The sequence below is a fragment of the Homo sapiens genome, chromosome 3, assembly GCF_000001405.40.
Source record: "Homo sapiens chromosome 3, GRCh38.p14 Primary Assembly".
Lineage (NCBI taxonomy): Eukaryota > Metazoa > Chordata > Mammalia > Primates > Hominidae > Homo > Homo sapiens.
This window is the reverse complement of record NC_000003.12, coordinates 78,582,466-78,605,695: the sequence shown is the minus strand read 5'-3', so window position 1 is coordinate 78,605,695 and position 23,230 is coordinate 78,582,466. Positions and strand designations below refer to the sequence as shown.

Genomic DNA, 23,230 nt, shown 5'->3' with positions numbered 1-23,230 from the left:
ATGCCAACAAGAACACAGATAGTAAAAAATCCAACGAAAATTTAGAGAATTAGGTTTAAAGGTGAGGAGAAAGGTTGTGAGGACAGAGTGGATTTTAGAACCCACAACACAGAGGTGATAATTATGTGAATGACAAAGTCTGAATTTCAGCAGAGATAATGCCGGTAACTATTTATCAATCAGCTATCCAGGAAGAAAACAAAACCAAACCCTAATTTGTAGCCATTTGCTTACTTCTGTTGTATGAATACTCTCAAAATTGCCAATTTCAAGTCACTGAATGTGGAGGTAGGAAGAGATGAATATATTCAGCTATTGTGAAATATTGAGCCTGCTCCAACACACCACTAGTCCAGGATGATTATACTTAGAGAGTAGGCAGATAATCAAGATAATCAACATCCTATTAAGGAAACAGATTGACCGACCCAGAGATTTAATAATCAAGATATCCAAGCTATTGAAAATAGTGTCCTATAAAGAATGGGGTGGGAAATTTTCAGACAGGAAGGCATATAAAATACCACAGTGGTGAAAGTTGAATGTAAACCAAGCGAGGAAAAAAGGGATCTTGCAATATGTTTTTTGTGGGTTAGAATAAAAGCCAGCCTGTATGGAGTTGGAAAGTGAATGGAAATTTTGGAAGGGAGGTGATGAGCACAAGTAAGCTCTTTCTGGAAGTTTGGGATGAGGAGGAAATCTTGGGATAGAGTTTGACAGAAAGGCCAAATCAGTGGAAATGTTTTAGGATTGTGGATTTGAACATTATTATAGACTAAAGAGAAGAAACCATGTAGGAGGAAGAAACACAAGAAATGGAAGATTATTAGTTGAGGAATCAGCAAAGAGTGATAGGGGAATGAAACTTAAAAACCTACAGGGGCACTTAACTACTGTATTTTAATAGATATATTGTGGTAAGATCTGACCTCAGTGTATTGTTGTATTTATTATGGACATCTGGTCATTAGCTAACTTCTTTTCAACACAGAGGGCAGTTTCTCTTTGTTCTGTGACTGCAGCATGAACTCCTAATCCAGGCATAGACTCACAAGTGAGGTGATAAATAAAGCTGTGCATTTCAGGCTGATGCCTCTATTGTGTGACCACAATGTCCTTGATAATATCACCACAATCCAAAGCTTGAAAAACTTACTTATTTTTCTCAGTTAACCCAAAGTTGATCTGGCTCTGAACTTTTGACTCAGTGTGACTCGACTCCAAATAGTGATTCATAAATAGAATGTGATGATGTAAATTGCGAGGTTTATATCTGGCCAGAAAGTATGGAGCAATTCCTGCTTATAAGAAGGCTTCATTAAAAGTTGGCTGGGTGTGGTGGCTCACGCCTGTAATCCCAGCACTTTGGGAGGCCAAGGTGGGTGGATCACAAGGTCAGGAGTTTGAGACCAGCCTGGCCAACATGGTGAAACCCCATCTCTACTAAAAATAAAAAAATTAGCTGGGTGTGGTTGTGTGCACCTGTAATCCCAGCTACTCGGGAGGCTGAGGCAGGAGAATTGCTTGAACCCGGGAGGAGGAGATTGCAGTGAGCCAAGATCATGCCATTATACTCCAGGTCTGGGCGACAGAGCAAGAATCTGTCTTGGAAAATAATAAATAAATAAATAAATAAATATTTTAAAAAATTAAAAAGTAGGTGAGATTATTCTTCAGAAGGAAATTTTACAAACCTGAAAATATCTTGTATGCAGATTTAGAAAACAGAGATAAAATTTTTAAAATCAATCTTCAGAAATTTAGTAAGTTGTCCTTTCTGCTATAAAATATTTGTAACAAACGAAGTAAGACTAGACCATTAGTCTAGAAACAAGGAACCCATGGAATCATGGAAATCACTGAGGTACACTGATGAGTTATTATTTTATATGCTCTGCTTTTCCAAATTTTTATTTGGATCATAACCCTATGTATATATGCCATTAAGTGATCATTTTTATGCATTGCTGTAATTTTCACCTTCATAATTCAGTTTACATTGTTTATAGTGAAAGAGGTATCCTGATTTATGTGTATAATGAATGATTATTTTTCATTAAGGAGAGTGGTCTTTTGGACTTGAATTTCTGATCATTTTGCTGACATTTGCCTCCGTTAGTTCAATTTATTTCTACATATATCAAACACCTACTGTGTTATTAAGCATTGTATTAAATCCTGAGATTTATGTATAAGCATAAACCTTGACTTCAAGGGGCTTGTAGTCAGGGAGAGAGGGACAGATAATCTATAAATTCATAGATATTTTTGTGTTCAGTATAACCTTCATAGTGCCATGATACTTGAGAGTCCAGAAGAGAGAGAATTCACTCAGGACTCTGAGAGAATGTTAGGAAAGATCTCTTTCCTAAGAAAAGAGGATTTATTTAGGTGGATAATCTGCATAAAAAGCCCGAAGGTCTATTGAGGGAACTGTAAGAAATTCAGTACTACTACATAATAAAAGTGGTCAAAGATGAAGCTCTTGAGGTACATGAAGGCTTAAGTCATAAAAAGCCTATAGATATTTTATAAGAGGAAAGTGGCTGAGTGAAGACAGTTTAGAGGGGAATAGCTCAAGGATGTTTGAAGATGTGTGCAACCCCCAGACAAGAAATGTAGAAAATATAAACCATGTTATAGGAGCAAGAATGGGTGACTCAGAAAATCCAAGAAACTTTTTAGAGTCAAAATCAAACTTACTTGTTGTATGTTGGACCATGTGGAAAGGATACACTTAAGATGTATGGAAAGGTTGTTGAAAGGGAAGAATCTATAATAATTTCAATATTCTGTCTTGCGTATCTTAATGATTAGTGATGTCATTCACTGTCTTAGAGAATGTAGCAAAGGAAGATATCTAAGGGAGTGAGCATTGTGAGGTCAATGTTCAACAGGTTGAGTTTGAGGAACATGTAAGAGTAGGGGTTCAGCTGGGGTGCCTATAGGAGCCTAAGGTTTGGGGCATAGTTTAGGAATTAAAAATATAAATTAATGATTCAGCATGATGAAAATAATGTAAAACAATGTATTAATGACGTGTTACAGGTCAAGATGAAAGTATATCAGCACGCAAAGCATACAAAATACCTCCCCTTATGACAGTTATATTTTAGAAAGGGTTATAATCTGTGAGACTGGGTAAAATCACCTAGGGTCAGTAGAAGAAATAATATATATGTAGTATTAAGCCATTCTTGCATTTCTATAAAGAAAAACCTGAGACTGGGTAATTTATAAAAGAAAGAGATTTAATTGGCTAAGTGTTCTGCAGCCTTTATAGGAAACATGGTGTTGACATCCGCTTGGCTTCTGAGGAGACCTCAGGAAGCTTAGAATCATGGCGGAAGGTGAAGGCAGAGTAGGCACATCACATGGTGAAAGCAGGAGCAAGAGAGAGAGAGAGTGGGATGGAGGTGCCACATACTTTTAAACCACCAGATCTTGTGTGAACTCAGAGCAAGAGCTCACCTATCATCAAGGGGATGGCCCAAGCGATCCATGAGGTATCTGCCTCCATGATCCAGACATCTCCCACCTGGCCCCACCTCCAACAGTGGGGATTACAATTCAACATGCGATTTGGGCAGTGACAAATATCCAAACTATATCATTCATCTATATATATACACACACACACACACACACACTCACACACATGAATGATATACATACATATATGTATAACGTATATATAATTATATTATACATATATATGAATTATATACATTAGGCTGAAAGTAGAAACCTGTAGAGCATCAGCATATCTGTGGTGCTTCATAAAAAGAGCTCACAGAAGATTGACCAGGGAGGAAGGAAAGCTAGCAGCTGAGAGAATAATATTTGCATTGATTAAGAGCAGTAAGAAGTCCAGGGACACAAGGCTGGAAACACGGTTAGCATTATCAATTTTCTCAGTTTCATAGTAGTGATGTAGGCATAAATAGATTTCAGTGGGATGCAGAATGAATGGGAATTGTGACTATCAATATTGAATCCAAATTGCTTTTCAAGAAGCTTGGCTGAGTGGTGAGGAAAGAAAGAAGGTGTTGATTTCATGGAGAGCACAGTCTTAAGGGGAAAGTTTTTAGTAAGAGAGAGATTTTATCATATTGTAGTTTGAGAAAACTAAAGTCAGTAGAGAGAAAGCTGTTGATGAAACAGAGACAGAGGATGATGGTCACATGGTATCAAGTGTTATGAAGAGAAGCTGCAGAAACAGTCATCCTCATGGACTGTGAAACTCCTATGTGTCAGAACTGTGGGTTAGGGGTGAAAGTTGTGATGAGTAGAATGGAAAGAACAAGACGCTATCAAGGAAGACTATACTGGCTTCAGAAAACGATGGCTTGGGCCTCAGAGGTGGAGATGTTTTTGTGCAAGGATAGAGGAGCAATAATTTAGAACTGGTGATGGTGAGCTAGAGGGAAGCCTTCTGCCTTACCCTTCCACTACAGAGAACGTCAGCGGGAACTTCAAGGGAAATCAGGCTTCACTCAGGCAATGTGAATAGTAGAGGAAGCATTTGGGGGAGGTGGGGAAAAGCATGCCAAAGAGTTAGGTATTTATGTGTTTGTCATCTAAAAGGCAGAGTTGGCAGACTTTGGAGAGAAGTGAGCAGCTGGCTGATGCATCAGTAGAAGTAGCACCAAATTTTCAAGCAGTTAAGGAGGTAGAAATTCAGGAGACAGAAATTAATTGGAGTGGCTTGCTTATTGAAGTTAGCAACAATAGCAGGCTTCTAAGATTCAGAGTTCCACAATGTAAATAGGACATTGACGTGGAGGTTGATATTTTGGTGTCTGTGGAGTGAAACCAGGCTTGGTTCTGTTTGATATTTCTAGGAGACTGGGCTTGATTTTTACCAATTCCTTATAATAACATTTTATAAGTTATGTAGATATTTTATTATCTCATCTGTTTTCATATCAACACTAAGAAACTGTCTCACGTGTCCATGTGAACGGAGGCCTGACAGAAACCCTCTAGGTATAGATGTTATCATCACTTTTTTTGGAAAAGTAGAAACTAAAGCCTAAAATAATCTGAGATCATATAGTGAATGACAGAATTGGAAGCCAAGTCTGACTCCAGGTTTGGTTTACCTCTTTTAATGATATTGGTCTGTAGTGAGTTTGAGATGGACAAGAGCTTATGAGTGGAATCAATCCAAATCCCTGACTACTAACAGGAAAACAACAAGGCTTATACTTTTCATTTTCAACACACTATGCTACATTATTCATTATGCTTATAGAGTGTCCTCATTTATACCTTAAATCACTGATGCTTCCTTATTCAGAATTACAGATAGACAGGAGTGATACAATATACAGTGAAAGTGTATGATGGTACTCACCTGCATTTATTATATTTCATTACACAGAGGATATTCTACCTTATTGTAGACCTACTTTTCCAACATCAAATAATCCCAGAGATCCCAGTTCCTCAAGCTCAATGTCATCAAGAGGATCAGGAAGCAGACAAAGAGAACAAGCAAATGTAGGTCGAAGAAATATTGCAGAAATGCAGGTACTTGGAGGATATGAAAGAGGAGAAGATAATAATGAAGAATTAGAGGTATCTATAATTTTTCCCCAAGTTTACCAATGTTAGACTGTGGTTGTTTTATGTAGTTAGGAACCTTCATCAGTGTACAGAAATGTTACTGTTTTATTGCAAACTTTTCAGTACTCTAATGTCTATGATGGCAGAAACTGAAGTTCTGAGAATTTGAGAATTTTCTTGAAATGTGTCCCAAAGTTTTAAATGTTAATGGCAGTTTATTTGTTTAGCTAGGGTTTATCTTCATTTGCAGATTTTCAGATAAGAAACATATATGGCAAACACATTGTTAAGAAGTAAGAGCTGTTGATCTAGAGCTATTATAATTCATAGCATTGTAGCAGGCTATAAAAACCCAGTAAGATGACAGAGTTATATGATGTGAGTGAGGAAGTTGCCATAGTCAGCACCAGGGTAATGTGGCTGGTTTGGCTAACTGTCCTTCACCTTTACACTTCTGAAAGTGTATGCCTAGTCTGTGACACTGACCTCCCCAGTTGGAGGAAACTTCTTACGTCAAAGATATACTCTCTTGTTAGCCTTGACATATCATAAATTCTCCCCTCACCCATTCAAAGATTGTATTTTCTCAATTTAATAAAAGTTGAGGAAAATTTTTTAATAAATATAGTTAAACTCAAGTAGATAAATACGTGTCAAATGACAACTTTTTATAGTAGAAGCTGAAAAGGTATAGGCCATTATGTCTAATTGAAAGTCCTATAAAGCTCAATGTATTTCGATTTTGAGGTTTAGAATGAGAAAGACTTTCCTCCTGCAAACAGAGAAGTTGTTTTTCAGGTCTTAGTTTATTTTAAAATAGAAGTAGCCTTTTGGGGGAACAGAATGGCCTTACTGTTAACTCCAGTATTTAAAACCAACAAAAGCAGAGTTGTAATGTTGACTTGGGGCTGAGGGGATTAGATAACTCAACACATTCCTTCCCGCTTCTCAGAGCCCTGTGTCCCACCACGCAACACCGGGGCACTGTGCAGAACCCAGTTTGGTACTTGTTGAATTTGCTGTGAAGACCAATTAAGGTTGATGAATGAATTAGTTGACATGAGCCCTTTCCAACATAGTCCATTGAATAAATGAAAAGACACATTAAATTATAATAATAATAAATGCATATAAATAAATATAACACAATCCTCTTAAGATTTATTTTCAAATGTGACAATAACGTATCTCTTACAGGAAACTGAAAGCTGAAGACAACCAAGAGGCTTATGAGATCTAATGTGAAAATCATCACTCAAGATGCCTCCTGTCAGATGACACATGACGCCAGATAAAATGTTCAGTGCAATCAGAGTGTACAAATTGTCGTTTTTATTCCTCTTATTGGGATATCATTTTAAAAACTTTATTGGGTTTTTATTGTTGTTGTTTGATCCCTAACCCTACAAAGAGCCTTCCTATTCCCCTCGCTGTTGGAGCAAACCATTATACCTTACTTCCAGCAAGCAAAGTGCTTTGACTTCTTGCTTCAGTCATCAGCCAGCAAGAGGGAACAAAACTGTTCTTTTGCATTTTGCCGCTGAGATATGGCATTGCACTGCTTATATGCCAAGCTAATTTATAGCAAGATATTGATCAAATATAGAAAGTTGATATTCAACCTCACAAGGGCTCTCAAAGTATAATCTTTCTATAGCCAACTGCTAATGCAAATTAAAACATATTTCATTTTAACATGATTTCAAAATCAGTTTTTCATACTACCCTTTGCTGGAAGAAACTAAAAATATAGCAAATGCAGAACCACAAACAATTCGAATGGGGTAGAAACATTGTAAATATTTACTCTTTGCAAACCCTGGTGGTATTTTATTTTGGCTTCATTTCAATCATTGAAGTATATTCTTATTGGAAATGTACTTTTGGATAAGTAGGGCTAAGCCAGTTGGATCTCTGGTTGTCTAGTCATTGTCATAAGTAAACCTAGTAAAACCTTGTTCTATTTTTCAATCATCAAAAAGTAATTATAAATACGTATTACAAACAAGTGGATGTTTTTAATGACCAATTGAGTAAGAACATCCCTGTCTTAACTGGCCTAAATTTCTTCTGGTAGTGTCAGTTCAACTTTCAGAAGTGCCACTTAAGGAAGTTTGATTTTTGTTTTTGTAATGCACTGTTTTTAATCTCTCTCTCTTTTTTTTTTTTTTTTTGGTTTTAAAAGCACAATCACTAAACTTTATTTGTAAACCATTGTAACTATTAACCTTTTTTGTCTTATTGAAAAAAAAAATGTTGAGAAGCGTTTTTAACCTGTTTTGTTAATGCTCTATGTTTGTATTTGGAATATTTGAATAATGACAGATGGTGAAGTAACATGCATACTTTATTGTGGGCCATGAACCAAATGGTTCTTACTTTTCCTGGACTTAAAGAAAAAAAGAGGTTTAAGTTTGTTGTGGCCAATGTCGAAACCTACAAGATTTCCTTAAAATCTCTAATAGAGGCATTACTTGCTTTCAATTGACAAATGATGCCCTCTGACTAGTAGATTTCTATGATCCTTTTTTGTCATTTTATGAATATCATTGATTTTATAATTGGTGCTATTTGAAGAAAAAAATGTACATTTATTCATAGATAGATAAGTATCAGGTCTGACCCCAGTGGAAAACAAAGCCAAACAAAACTGAACCACAAAAAAAAAGGCTGGTGTTCACCAAAACCAAACTTGTTCATTTAGATAATTTGAAAAAGTTCCATAGAAAAGGCGTGCAGTACTAAGGGAACAATCCATGTGATTAATGTTTTCATTATGTTCATGTAAGAAGCCCCTTATTTTTAGCCATAATTTTGCATACTGAAAATCCAATAATCAGAAAAGTAATTTTGTCACATTATTTATTAAAAATGTTCTCAAATACATCTTTCTTTCTTGTGTTGATTTCTTTTTTCATTGTGTGCTGATCAAATTTATTCCATTTAATCACAAAGTCGTTCTGTCTTAACATTTCACCCCTGTATTATCAGATGAGTGAAAATTCTCAATTAGTTGTATGAATAACCAGGCTTTACTGTAAGCAAAATTTTACCTAAGTCCTCTGAAATTAAAAATGTAAGATCAGTCAAGACCTAGAAGTGAATAATTGGATCAGAGACTAAGTCTTCTTTAATATTAAGGGTATATTATTTTTGTTTATGTATGTGTATCTGAGTTTCAGTTAATCTATTTCATCTATTTCTAAAATAATTGGGATTCAACTAGATAAATGTGATTTGTAAAGTTTGAGCCACCTATGTTCTGTCAGCAAGAAAATTAATTATATAACTCTGAAATGCTTATCAGTAACTATCTGCTTTCTTGTTACGAATTCACGTAAAATTTTAACAATACCTATCATATACCAGGTTATACATTATTAAAGTTAGTTAGTGTATCCAGGTATTCAACTTTAGATGAACAATATGGGCACCATGTCTTGGAAGTTCCAAGAGCAACAGAATCTGATGTAGGTTTTTTCCCTTTCACATATATATTGCTCTTCTACCTAAATTTTGTGTTTATCAGAATTTGAAAATATGAGGGAAAACAGTGAAAAAAAGGGGTTTAATCTGAAATTTAATTTTATAAAAATGAAGTAATCACCAGCATCTACTTAAAGATGAACAGGTCCACAGGTCAAGAAGTCAATTTCTAAAAGCTACTTTAAGGAAAAATTAGAGGGACATGTGTAGTGACGTAATTTCTCTCTTACCCCTGGTGAGTTGACTATAAATATAAGTTAGTCTCTCTCTTTATTTATAATATGTGATAATACATACCGATTCTGTATATCAGAGGACCTGGGTTTGAGTCGCAGTTTTGTCACAGCTGTGTTTCCTCGGAGATGTTACTTAACCTCTAAGTCTCAGGTACTTCACCTGTAAATTCAATAATACCTACCTCATGGAGCCGTTGTCATGATTCAGTGAGTTAATGTGTATGATATGGACTCTGTAAACTCCATCAATGATACAAGATATTGTTATATTTATGGACTGAAATTCATTACACATGCAATCCCTGCTTTTCATACCTAGTTTGTTTCTGAGTATTTGCACGAAAGTCAAAGAATAAGTGTGGTACCAGGATGAGGGTGGTTTCATTTCCGGTGAGTAAAATTCACTGTGAAATTCCTAATTGTGGAATAAATAATTGGTGTTTTTGTTTGTTTTGTTGCTCTTGAATTCGAGGGCCACACAGCGGGTGGTGTTATGGTGTCTGCAGCACACATTTCACAATTCGTGGGTACAGACAGGAGTTCTCAACAATTAAACTCGTTGTTTATTTTGGGCTGCTATTCTGCCTAGTGGCAGAAGATATAATCTTAATTCCAGGTGAAATCGACGATACCTGGCTTTTTTGATTATTTCATATATAGTCTGGATTTCTTCTTTGCACACAGTGACATCTGAATTTCAGAGCTGTCCCCATGTGTAGAATGTGTGGGTGGTCAGGAAGCAGGCGGCTTTGGGGATTGCTGTTGGCCAAGTTTCATTAAATGATCTTCATTTTTGTCAGAACTTTACTCTGTATCCTCTTCTCCCAACCTTAATGCCTCTTATTATCCATTGATCCTCTCCTGATACTTCTAAGTCCTTCAATGTAGGGTGGGTGTAAAGAGTAAGGAAGGAGAGTTCCATATGCTCTTCTGTGCCATGCTGGGGCTCTAAGGACTTGAGACTTCCTTGGGGTCTCACAAGATACTACAATGGCCCCTAAACTGCTTGCTGCATTTGGACTGTGTGTTGGTTGAGGGAAGGGGTGAGAGCAACTTCTGCAGTTTTGAAGAAAAGAGCCTAATAATTTGCATTTTGGAGGCAATCCTATTTATGTTAAAAATAGTTTGGTAGCTACCACCCTAACAACTCAAAGATAAGTTTCATCGTAGTACAGCTGAAACTGAAATGAATCTTATAGGCATTAGTGTCTCACAATCACTTTCACCTTTTCATTGCTCGCTGTTTAAAAACATAAGCCTCAAAGAAACAGAGCATGCATCAAACTTTTGTTTACCTCGTTAATACAGTAAACAGCAGAAAGACAAAGAGCAGTCAAATGGCAGCTGTGAAAGAAACTTAACTATGATGGCTGAGTTAGTAAACTTTCTTTTTTTTCTTTTTCTTTTTTTTTTTTCTTTAAGACAGTCTCACTCTGTCACCCAGGCTGGAGTGCAATGGCATGATCTTGGTTCACTGCAACCCCCCACCTCCCGGGTTCAAGCAATTCTCCCTGTCTCAGCCTTCTGAGCCGCTGGGATTATAGGTGCCCGCCACCATGCCCGGCTAATTTTTGTATTTTTAGTAGATACGGGGTTTCACCATGTTGGCCTGGCTAGTCTTGAACTCCTGACCTCAGGCAATCCACCCACATCAGCCTCCCAAAGTGCTGAGATGATTACAAGCGTGAGCCACCGCACCCAGCCGAGTTAGTAAACTTTCTACAGGGCAATACAAACATGATACTAATTTTTACTGGGCTAGAGAGTCATGACATCTATCTTTTTCTTTAGGTTAAATAACCATTAACCTTCAAGACTACAGGAAGTCTGAAGTCGGCCACCTTTATCATTTGGAAATTATCTGTCGAAAATATACCTTGGTAATTTACATTCACTCAGGAGAATCAGATAAAGGTTCGACAGTGACTTACTCTTGTTCATGTTTCCCCAGAAGCAGAGCCTGCGACAAAGACTTGGATGCAAACAGTTTATTTGGGATAGAATCCCAGGAAGTGGGAGTGTGAGGGGAATAAAATTCAATATAGATCCTTCAAAGTAGGTGAAGGTGCCTCTACCAGGTACTCTACCGGCTCTTCCCAGGAGCACACAGAATGCCTAACAGAACTTTTCACTGAAGGACAGTAGCCCAAAATTATTCCCCATTAGCTGAAGGTTTCAGGCTGCAGGCGGGGCAGGGGATTTCACTTCCCGGTACTAGTGAGCAGACCAAGTGTGAATGGAAGACCCTAAGGCAGAAAGAAGACATGCACATGGCAGGTAGTTGAGTTGGGAAGGTGCCAAAATGAGGTGAGTCTGGGATCAAAGGGAACTTTTGGCCCTAGCAAAACCTCAAAGGCATCTATTGCTGGCAGGATTATTGGAAAATGTTTTAGTATGGTAATAAAAATCAAGCAATCATTAATTTACCATTTTTCAGATTTAAGATAAATTTTCCTTCATAATGTACACATATGAAGTTAGTTATAGGTATTCAAATTACTTTCACATTGGTGGAGTTTTTACCAGTTATCAATTTCTGGTACTATAGGTGTTGAATTTAATTGACATTTAACATATTTTGAAAATTTTTTTACAGTATTAGCATTGAAACAAAACGAGCAAAAAGCATGGAGAAACACCATTGAGATGTGACTTGGATCCTTAGAGGAATAACCAGTTACGCATTTTCTGGCAAAGCAACAAGCTTTACAGTACCACAGAAAGTAAAATATCCACAGTAATTCAAGTTGTGCCTTCCAACACACACATATATGCACACACACATATACAATGTTATTGAAGGCCAGTAAAATTATGAAATTCCTCAAAATAAAGTGAAAAAAAGTTTCAAGCAAAGTTGAGCATGGTGTAACCAATTTATGTGTTTTGCAAAACTATCGTTGAGACATTATATCATGACAAAAATTGGTAGCATTTCACAGTGACACACAAAGTTTTTAAATTCAATGAAAATTACATTAAAAAGTAACATGTATACAATCCCATTGCCTTATATTGGACTCATTATATTTACATAGATTGGATACTGTTAGGGACTGAATGTTTATGTCCTCCCTGAATTCATATGTTAAAATTCTAACCCCCAATGTGATGGTTTTAGGATGTGGGGCGTTTGGGAGGTAACTAGGTTTTGATGGTGGAGGCTTCATGAATAGGATTAGTGCTCTTATAAAAAACAACAACAACAACAAACAAACAAACAAACAAAAGCAACCCTAGAGAGCTCTTTCTTCTTCCTGCAATGAAACAAGGAAATGTCAGCAGTCTGCAACCCAGAAGAGGGCTATCACCAGAAGTCAGCTATGCTAGCCCTGTGATCTTGGACTTCCAGCTTCCAAAACTGTGAGAAATACATTTCTCTTGTTTACAAGCCACCCTGTCTATGGGACTTCGTTACAGAAGCTTGAACTGCCTAATACAGGTACTTCTTTTTAAAATTCAAATCTTTGACATAAATCACTAGCTCCACATCTAAGTTAATCTTCCCTCTTTCAGAAATTCTCTTTCTGTTTGGGAAAAACTCTGAGCTCTTCAACTTTGAGTAAAACAGCTTTTAATGCCTCTGGTTCAAGTTACTTTTATAGCCTGCTCAGCTTCAGAAATTTAAAAAAGTAACCTGGGCAAGTAGGGCTTCTTTTCCTGCCCAGTACCTGTACTTTGGCCTGCCTTCCTTGAAACTTTCAAGTCCTCCTCTGGTGCCTGAGATGGGCCTGGGAAGGCAGTGCCAATAGGACTGGGTACTGGAGCCTGGAGGAGGACTAATGTAGGCCCAGGCCCCCTGCATATGGGATTAATATTTGAGGAGCTGCACAATTCAGAATAAATACCTGTGGGGTACTCCTGGGACCCTGTAGCTGGCCTTCTGGTTCCAGAAGAGTGCAATCTATTGAGATCTACTATGTGCTAGAAACTAAGATAAACTCTAGAAGTGCTCACAATGTAATGGGAGGCAGACTGTATTAGTTCATTTTCACACTACTATGAAGGAATACCTGACGCTGGGTAATTTATAAAGGAAAGAGGTTTAATTGACAGTTCTGCATGGCTGGGGAAGCCTTAGGAAACTTACAATCATGGCAGAAGGGGAGGCAAACACGTACTTCTTCACATGGTGGTAGGAGTGAGAAGAATGAGAGCCCAGCAAAGGGAGAAGCCCCTTATAAAACCAACAAATCTCATGAGAACTAACTCACTATCAGGAGAACAGCATGAGCAGCATGAGGGTCACCACCACCATGATTTAATTACCTCCCACCGGATCCCTCCTACAACACAGGGGGATTATAGGGACTACAGTTCAAGATGAGATTTGGGTAGGGACACAGCCAAGCCATATCAAAGACATGTACAACACTGTAAACAATGTAACAGAGGTATTTACACAGCAAATTGTTAGCTGATTGCTTATAATGGCAGACATTTTTTTCATAGGATTGAGTGAGGTTATGCTACCAGAATGGTACTGACATGCCTGATTTGAGATGACTTAAATTATGACATAAACAGAGGCCCTGCAGAAGCATTTGCCCTCACCTGGTGGCCAGAGTAGCCCTCAACATCAGGAAGGGGCGTCTTTTAAAACCAGCCTAATAAAAACCTGAGTTTTTATATGGAATGCCTATTTATTAATAGGCCTTATATTTTCCACAATGAGGGAGTATAGATACTATGTATTCAATATATTACCTACCTGTTCTCTGTAGAAGTTATGCACAAGTCATCTCTCTAAAATGCCTCTTCTCTTGGTGTATAAAAGTGAGTGTTTATGTGTGTGTGTGTCTGTGATTGTGGTGGGGAAGTAAAAATAGAGTAAATGAAGTAGGTGGGGCTTTATACCTGTTTTTGTTTTCAAACCTACAAGACAAAATTATGCAACATGTCTTTAAGGGCTTGGAACATGAAAGGCATTTGGAAAAGCTACTGTGTGGAATACCATAGGAAGTAAGTGATGAAGAAATGGATTACTAAAAAAATTGGTTATTTATTCCGTACCTGCTATAATTTCAACATACAATCAGATTAAATCTTAGCAAAAATTGATGTGGAATGTCTAGTCTTAATCTATTTGGATAGATGAAGAAAGTAATATTTTCAAAGACTAGGAAAATTGCTGAAATTCACAATACAGAAATACAAATAGAGTGTGGATATTGTTTCAAGTCTAGCACTCTTTCCAAAAATTAAAACTTAAAAAACAAACAAATAACATGTCCTCACCACAGAAAATAAGTAGTTGAGGTGATGGATGTGTTAATTAGCTTGATTTAATCATTTCACATTATACATATATATCATAGCTTTGTATTCCATAAATATATACAATTATAATATCAATTTACAATCAAATTAAAAACAAACTGTCCTTCAAGAATGAAAATCAAGTTAACAAACGTTAAAACAATAACCAACTTCCATTCTTAAATTAATTATAACTGAAATGTGAAAAAGAAAAAGTGTCCGTGTTGGCAACAGGGAGAGAGATAGATGCTAAAGGTGCTTTTGCCAAATATTTAAAAGCACTATCATCATTCATTAATATGTAAGTTTTTAAATATTGTTTAGGCTTCCAAAGACCACTTTTAAAAATAAGAAATTACAAATGATAATTTCCAAGCATTGCAAATGTGCATTTATTTGCATATAAGATATACAATCCCATATTAATATTCCTAATATTAGAGAATTTTAACAATTTGACTTAAAAGCAATTTAACCTTCCAAGTATACTTACCTTCATTTTATCGAAAAAGAACTTGAGAAGTTTTTCAAGGTTATGGAACATTGCTTCTTAAGTCAGAATTTTTAATTGCATTGCCAAACCCAGCAATCTCATCGATCCCACTTATGCCTCTCTCTATGGGAAAGCAAAATATTTTGGAGAGGTTTTAACATTTTTTTTAAATCTGACTTTTTAAAATGAGCTAATACATTTATAATAATACCTTATCATTTAAAAGTACTATGCTTGTAGTACTTTGGAGAAAAATAATTCAAGAAAACTATTAAGTTGCTTAGATTAATAATGTACCTATGCATAGGATTAACATATATTCAAAAGTTAATATATTTATCTGGATGATTTAAGATCAATTGTTAATTAAGCTGCACATGTTTCAAGTGTGCATAATTAAACAATCATTTTGAATAAACAGCATTCTGCCCTATAATATAGTGCCAAAAATATGACTACTGAACTATTCTAAAAAATTAGTCACACTGCAACATAATCAAAAGAGTTTAATTAATTTACTCATCACCTTTTTCTCATACTCTTTACTCTGATTTCCATCTGGGTATTCATTCATTGATTCAGCAATCTATTGAGCATTCATTACATGCTAGTAACTAAGATAAACTCTGGGAGTGCTCACAGTGAACGAGCTAAGATAAACTCTGGGAGTGCTCACAACATAATGGGAGGCAGACATACATAACAATGTAAACAATGTAACAGAAGCATTTAGGCAGCAATAAAGAAGTTTGTGGAAACTCCAAACAGGAATTGAAGACATGTTCTGTTTGGATTATGAAGGCTGAAAAAGTCATCAATTAATTTATAACATAAAAAGCTTTCCTGTCTCAAAATTATACTCCCTTCTACTTAAAAAAGCATGTAGAATACATTTTAAAATTAAGGTAAATTTAGATAAACAAAAAGGCCAGTTATTAATTATGTTTGAGAAATGTGATTTGGATTATTTGTTTTTATTCAATTTCCATCATTCTCCAACTAAAACAGTTTTAGAATCACACAAATCTAAAGAGATAATCAATAAAAGCATAAAAGGATTACGTGATAAAATACTTTAAGAGGATTGGAGACTAAATCATTTCCCTTTACATTTAATTTATCTCTTTTATGTAGACTGTGTCAGTAACAATGCTTCTGAACACAGATTGTAACAAAACACATAAAATCCAAGTCAGTGTAGCTAAGCAAGTCAGGGTAGCTAATTTATGGGGTCAGGAACTGAGAAGTACAACAAAAGGGCTCTGAGCAGACTTGGTTCAGTCAAGGCTCTGCCTCCATTTGTTTGTGAATCTCTTTGCTCTACTTGGCTCCCCATGTTGCTTTCCTTCTCAAGCTGTTATCAATATGGCTGCAACAGACCACTGATCAGTCTCAAGCCACATGCGATGATATTCAGAGGCATAGCGACAAAAGCTAGATAGCTTCTGAACAGTCTCTGAAAATGCATACCAGTCATCTGAATTGTTATGCATGCTCTTTGCAGGACTAATTCTGTGTCCAGAGAACACCATATACTGTTTGGCTAAGCCTGTGTTCCCTTAGACCCATCAGGTCCTCTACTGGAATGGACTTATCTGTTACCCTTGAAGTATGTGGAATGTTTGTTGAAGAGAATGAATGATGAGAAAGCAACCAACAGTGAATAAAACACACACCTCCTCACTCATACATTTAGCAATTAGTCTGTGCTCTGTATTTAGCCCTTATATATGTCAGGCCTCTGAGCCCAAGCCAAGCCATCACATCCCCTGTGACTTGCATGTATACGCCCAGATGGCCTGAAGTAACTGAAGAATCACAAAAGAAGTGAATATGCCCTGCCCTGCCTTAACTGATGACATTCCACCACAAAAGTGTAAATGGCCTGTCCTTGCTTTAAGTGATGACATTACCTTGTGAAAGTCCTTTTCCTGGCTCATCCTGGCTCAAAAAACACCCCCACTGAGCACCTTGCGACCCCCACCCCTGCCCACCAGAGAACAACCCCCTTTGACTGTAATTTTCCATTACCTTCCCAAATCCTATAAAACGGCCCCAACCCCTATCTCCCTCTGCTGACTCTCTTTTTGGACTCAGCCCGCCTGCACCCAGGTGAAATAAACAGCCATGTTGCTCACACAAAGCCTGTTTGGTGGTCTCTTCACACGGACGTGCATGAAATTTGGTGCCGTGACTCGGATTGGGGGGGGGACCTCCCTTGGGAGATCAATCCCCTATCCTCCTGTTCTTTGCTCCGTGAGAAAGATCCACCTATGACCTCAGGTCCTCAGACCGACCAGCCCAAGGAACATCTCACCAATTTTAAATCAGGTAAGCAGCCTCTTACTCTCTTCTCCAACCTCTCTCACTGTCCCTCAACTACTTTCTCCTTTCCACTCTTCAATCTCTCCCTTCTCTTAATTTCAATTCCTTTCATATTCTGGGAGAGACAAAGGAGACACGTTTTATCCGTGGACCCAAAACTCTGGTGCCGGTCACGGACTGGGAAGGCAGCCTTCCCTTGGTGTTTAATCATTGCAGGGAGGGACGCCTCTCTGATTATTCACCCACGTTTCAAAGGTGTCAGACCACGCAGGGACGCCTGCCTTGGTCCTTCACCCTTAGCGGCAAGTCCCACTTTTCTGGGAAAGGGGCAAGTACCCCAACCCCTTCTCTCGTCTCTACCCCTTCTCTGCTTTTCTGGGGGAGGGGCAAGTACCCCTCAACCCCTTCTCCTTCACCCTTAGCGGCAAGTCCCACTTTTCTAGAGGAGGGGCAAGTACCCCAACCTCATATCTCTGTGCCCCAATCCCTTATTTCCATGACCCGACCCCTTATTTCCATGACCCTACCCCTTATTTCTGTGCCCCGACCCCTTATTTCTGTGCCCCATCCCTTATTTCCACACCCCGACCTCTTATCTCTGTGCCCCAACCCCTTTTCCCACTTTTCTGGAAGGTAAGAACCCCCAAACCCCTTCCCCCCTTTCTCTACTCTCTCTTTTCTCTAGGCTTGCTTCCTTCACTATAGGCAAACTTCCACCCTCCATTTCCCCTTCTACTCCCTTGGCCTGTGTTCTCAAAAACTTAAAACCTCTTCAACTCACACCTGACCTAAAACCTAACTGCCTTATTTTCTTCTGCAATGCCACTTGACCCCAATACAAACTGGACAGTAGTTCCAAATAGCCAGAAAATGGCACTTTGAATTTTTCCATCCTGCAAGATCTAAATAATTCTTGTCGTAAAATAGGCAAACGGTCTGAGGTGCCTGACGTCCAGGCATTCTTTTACACATCAGTCTCTTCCTAGTCTCTGTGCCCAGTGCAACTCGTCCCAAATCTTCCTTCTTTCCCTCCTGCCTGTCCCCTCAGTACCAACCCCAAGCATCGCTGAGTCTTTCTAATCTTCCTTTTCTACAGACCCATCTGACCTCTCCCTTCCTCCCCAGGCTGCTCCTCGCCAGGCCGAGCTAAGTCCCAATTCTTCCTCAGCCTCTGCTCCTCCACCCTATAATCTTTTTATCACCTCCCCTCCTCACACCTGGTCCGGCTTACAGTTTCGTTCCGTGACTAACCCTCCCTCTCCTGCCCAGCAATTTACTCTTAAAAAGGTGGCTGGAGCTAAAGGCATAGTCAAGGTTAATGCTCCTTTTTCTTTATCCCAAATCAGATAGCGTTTAGGCTCTTTTTCATCAAATATAAAAATCCAGCCCAGTTCATGACTTGTTTGACAGCAACCCTGAGACACTTTACAGCCCTAGACCCTAAAAAGTCAAAAGGCCGTCTTATTCTCAAAATACATTTTATTACCCAATCTGCTCCCAACATTAAATAAAACTCCAAAAATTAAATTCCGGCCCTCAAACACCACAACAGGATATAATTAACCTCACCTTCAAGGTGTACAATAATAGAACAAAGTTGCAATTCCTTGCCTCCACTGTGAGACAAACCCCAGCCACATCTCCAGCACACAAGAACTTCCAAACGCCTGAACCGCAGCGGCCAGGCATTCCTCCAGAACCTCCTCCCCCAGGAGCTTGCTACATATGCCGGAAATCTGGCCACTGGGCCAAGGAATGCCCGCAGCCCGGGATTCCTCCTAAGCCACGTCCCAACTGTGTGGGACCCCACTGAAAATCGGACCGTTCAACTCACCTGGCAGCCACTCCCAGAGCCCCTGGAACTCTGGCCCAAAGCTCTCTGACTGACTCCTTCCCAGATCTTCTTGGCTTAGCAGCTGAAGACTGACACTGCCCGATCGCCTCGGAAGCCCCCTGGACCATCACGGATGCCAAGCTTCGGGTAACTCTCACAGTGGAAGGTAAGCCCGTCCCCTTCTTAATCAATACGGAGGCTACCCACTCCACATTACCTTCTTTTCAAGGGCCTATTTCCCTTGCCTCCATAACTGTTGTGGGTATTGATGGCCAGGCTTCTAAACCTCTTAAAACTCCCCAACTCTGGTGCCAACTTAGACAATACTTCTTTAAGCACTCCTTTTAGTTATCCCCACCTGCCCAGTTCCCTTATTAGGCTGAGATACTTTAACTAAATTTTCTGCTTCCCTGACTATTCCTGGACTACAGCTATATCTCATTGCCACCCTTCTTCCCAATCCAAAGCCTCCTTTACATCCTCCTCTTGTATCCCCCCACCTTAACCCACATGTATGGATACCTCTACTCCCTCCTTGGCGACCGATCATGCACCCCTTACCATCTCATTAAAAACTAATCACCCTTACCCCACTCAACGCCAATATCCCATCCTGCAGCACGCTTTAAAAAGATTAAAGCCTGTTATCACTCACCTGCTACAGCACGGCCTTTTAAAGCCTATAAACTCTCCTTACAATTCCCCCATTTTACCTGATCTAAAACCAGACAAGCCTTACATGTTAGTTCAAGATCTACGCCTTATCAACCAAATTGTTTTGCCTATCCACCCCGTGGTGCCAAACCCATATACTCTCCTATCCTCAAAACCTGCCTCTACAACCCATTATTCTGTTCTGGATCTCAAACATGCTTTCTTTACTATTCCTTTGCACCCTTAATCCCAGCCTCTCTTCGCTTTCACTTGGACTGACCCTGACACCCATCAAGCTCAGCAAATTACCTAGGCTGTACTGCCACAAAGCTTCACAGACAGCCCCCATTACTTCAATCAAGCCCAAATTTCTTCCTCATCTGTTACCTATCTCGGCATAATTCTCATAAAAACACACGTGTTCTCCCTGCCAATCGTGTCTGACTGATCTCTCAAACCCCAGCACCTTCTACAAAACAACAACTCCTTTCCTTCCTAGGCATGGTTAGCGCGGTCAGAATTCTTACACAAGAACCAGGACCACACCCTGTAGCCTTTCGGTCCAAACAACTTGACCTTACTGTTTTAGCCTAGCCCTCATGTCTGCGTGCAGCGGCTGCCACTGCATTAATACTTTTAGAGGCCCTCAAAATCACAAACTATGCTCAACTCACTCTCTATAGTTCTCGTAACTTCCAAAATCTATTTTCTTCCTCATACCTGACACATATACTTTCTGCTTCCCGGCTCCTTCAGCTGTACTCACTCTTTGCTGAGTCTCCCACAATTACTGTTGTTCCTGGCCCAGACTTCAATCTGGCCTCCCACATTATTCCTGATACCACACCTGACCCCCATGACTGTATCTGTCTGATCCACCTGACATTCATCTCATTTCCCCAAATTTCCTTCTTTCCTGTTCCTCACCCTGATCACACTTGATTTATTGATGGCGGTTCCACCAGGCCTAATCGCCACACACCAGCAAAGGCAGGTTATGCTATAGTACAAGCCACTAGCCCGCCTCTTAGAACCTCTCATTTCCTTTCCATCGTGGAAATCTATCCTTAAGGAAATAACTTCTCAGTGTTCCATCTGCTATTCTACTACTCCTCAGGGATTATTCAGGCCCCCTCCCTTCCCTACACATCAAGCTCGAGGATTTGCCCCACCCAGGACTGGCAAATTAGCTTTACTCAACATGCCCCGAGTCAGATAACTAAAATACCTCTTAGTCTAGGTAGATACTTTCACTGGATAGGTAGAGGCCTTTCCTACAGGGTCTGAGAAGGCCACTGCAGTCATTTCTTCCCTTCTGTCAGACATAATACCTCAGTTTAGCCTTCCCACCTCAATACAGTCTGATAACAGACGAGCCTTTATTAGTCAAATCCGCCAAGCAGTTTTTCAGGCTCTTAGTATTCAGTGAAACCTTTATATCCCTTAGGGTCCTCCATCTTCAAGAAAAGTAGAATGGACTAAAGGTCTTTTAAAAACACACCTCAGCCCTCTCCCTCTCCCTCTCCCTCTCCCTCTCCCCACGGTCTCCCTCTCATGCGGAGCCGAAGCTGGACTGTACTGCTGCCATCTCGGCTCACTGCATCCTCCCTGCCTGATTCTCCTGCCTCAGTCTGCTGAGTGCCTGCGATTGCAGGCACGCGCCGCCACGCCTGACTGGTTTTGGTGGAGACGGGGTTTCACTGTGTTGGCCGGGCCAGTCTCCAGCCCCTAACCGCGAGTGATCCGCCAACCTCGGCCTCCCGAGGTGCCGGGATTGCAGACGGAGTCTCGTTCACTCAGTGCTCAATGGTGCCCAGGCTGGAGTGCAGTGGTGTGATCTCGGCTCACTACAACCTACACCTCACAGCCGCCTGCCTTGGCCTCCCAAAGTGCCGAGATTGCAGCCTCTGCCCGGCCGCCACCCCGTCTGGGAAGTGAGGAGTGTCTCTGCCTGGCCGCCCATCGTCTGGGATGTGAGGAGCCCCTCTGCCTGGCTGCCCAGTCTGGAAAGTGAGGAGCGTCTCCCTAGGAAGTGAGGAGCACCTCTTCCCAGCCGCCATCACATCTAGGAAGTGAGGAGCGTCTCTGCCCGGCCGCCCATCGTCTGAGATGTGGGGAGCGCCTCTGCCCCGCTGCCCCATCTGGGATGTGAGGAGCGCCTCTGCCCGGCCGAGACCCCGTCTGGGAGGTGAGGAGCGTCTCTGCCCGGCCGCCCCGTCTGAGAAGTGAGGAGACCCTCTGCCTGGCAACCACCCCGTCTGAGAAGTGAGGAGCCCCTCCGCCCGGCAGCCGCCCCGTCTGAGAAGTGAGGAGCCTCTCCGCCCGGCAGCCACCCCATCTGGGAAGTGAGGAGCATCTCCGCCCAGCAGCCACCCCGTCCGGGAGGGAGGTGGGGGGGGTCAGCCCCCCGCCTGGCCAGCCGCCCCATCCGGGAGGGAGGTGGGGGGGTCAGCCCCCCGCCCGGCCAGCCGCCCCGTCTGGGAGGTGAGGGGCGCCTCTGCCCGGCCGCCCCTACTGGGAAGTGAGGAGCCCCTCTGCCCGGCCAGCCGCCCCGTCCGGGAGGGAGGTGGGGGGGTCAGCCCCCCGCCCGGCCAGCCGCCCTGTCCGGGAGGGAGGTGGGGGGGTCAGCCCTCCGCCCGGCCAGCCGCCCCGTCTGGGAGGTGAGGGGCGCCTCTGCCCGGCCGCCCCTACTGGGAAGTGAGGAGCCCCTCTGCCCGGCCAGCCGCCCCGTCCGGGAGGGAGGTGGGGGGGTCGGCCCCCCGCCCAACCAGCCGCCCCATCCGGGAGGGAGGTGGGGGGGTCAGCCCCCCGCCCGGCCAGCCGCCCCGTCTGGGAGGTGTGCCCAACAGCTCATTGAGAACGGGCCAGGATGACAATGGTGGCCTTGTGGAATAGAAAGGCGGGAAAGGCGGGGAAAAGATTGAGAAATCGGATGGTTGCCGTGTCTGTGTAGAAAGAAGTAGACATGGGAGACTTTTCATTTTGTTCTGCACTAAGAAAAATTCCTCTGTCTTGGGATCCTGTTGATCTGTGACCTTACCCCCAACCCTGTGCTCTCTGAAACATGTGCTGTGTCCACTCAGGGTTAAATGGATTAAGGGCGGTGCAAGATGTGCTTTGTTAAACAGATGCTTGAAGGCAGCATGCTCGTTAAGAGTCATCACCAATCCCTAATCTCAAGTAATCAGAGACACAAACACTGCGGAAGGCCGCAGGGTCCTCTGCCTAGGAAAACCAGAGACCTTTGTTCACTTGTTTATCTGCTGACCTTCCCTCCACTATTGTCCCATGACCCTGCCAAATCCCCCTCTGTGAGAAACACCCAAGAATTATCAATAAAAAAATAAATTAAAAAATAAAAATAAAAAAAAA

General features: G+C 40.9%; 1 protein-coding gene across 18 annotated transcripts in view; it reads left to right on the top strand.

Annotated features, from left to right (window-relative positions):
* The window catches only part of ROBO1 (roundabout guidance receptor 1), a 1,170,760-nt gene extending 1,162,303 nt beyond the window's left edge, over positions 1-8,457 (top strand). For all 18 annotated transcript variants that reach the window (XM_017006982.2, XM_047448664.1, XM_047448661.1 and 15 more), the window contains 2 exons: positions 5,387-5,583; positions 6,769-8,457. In XM_017006982.2, coding sequence (XP_016862471.1) covers positions 5,387-5,583; positions 6,769-6,783 — 212 coding nt within the window. In that variant the 3' untranslated portion in view covers positions 6,784-8,457. The remainder of the gene's footprint in view (positions 1-5,386; positions 5,584-6,768) is intronic.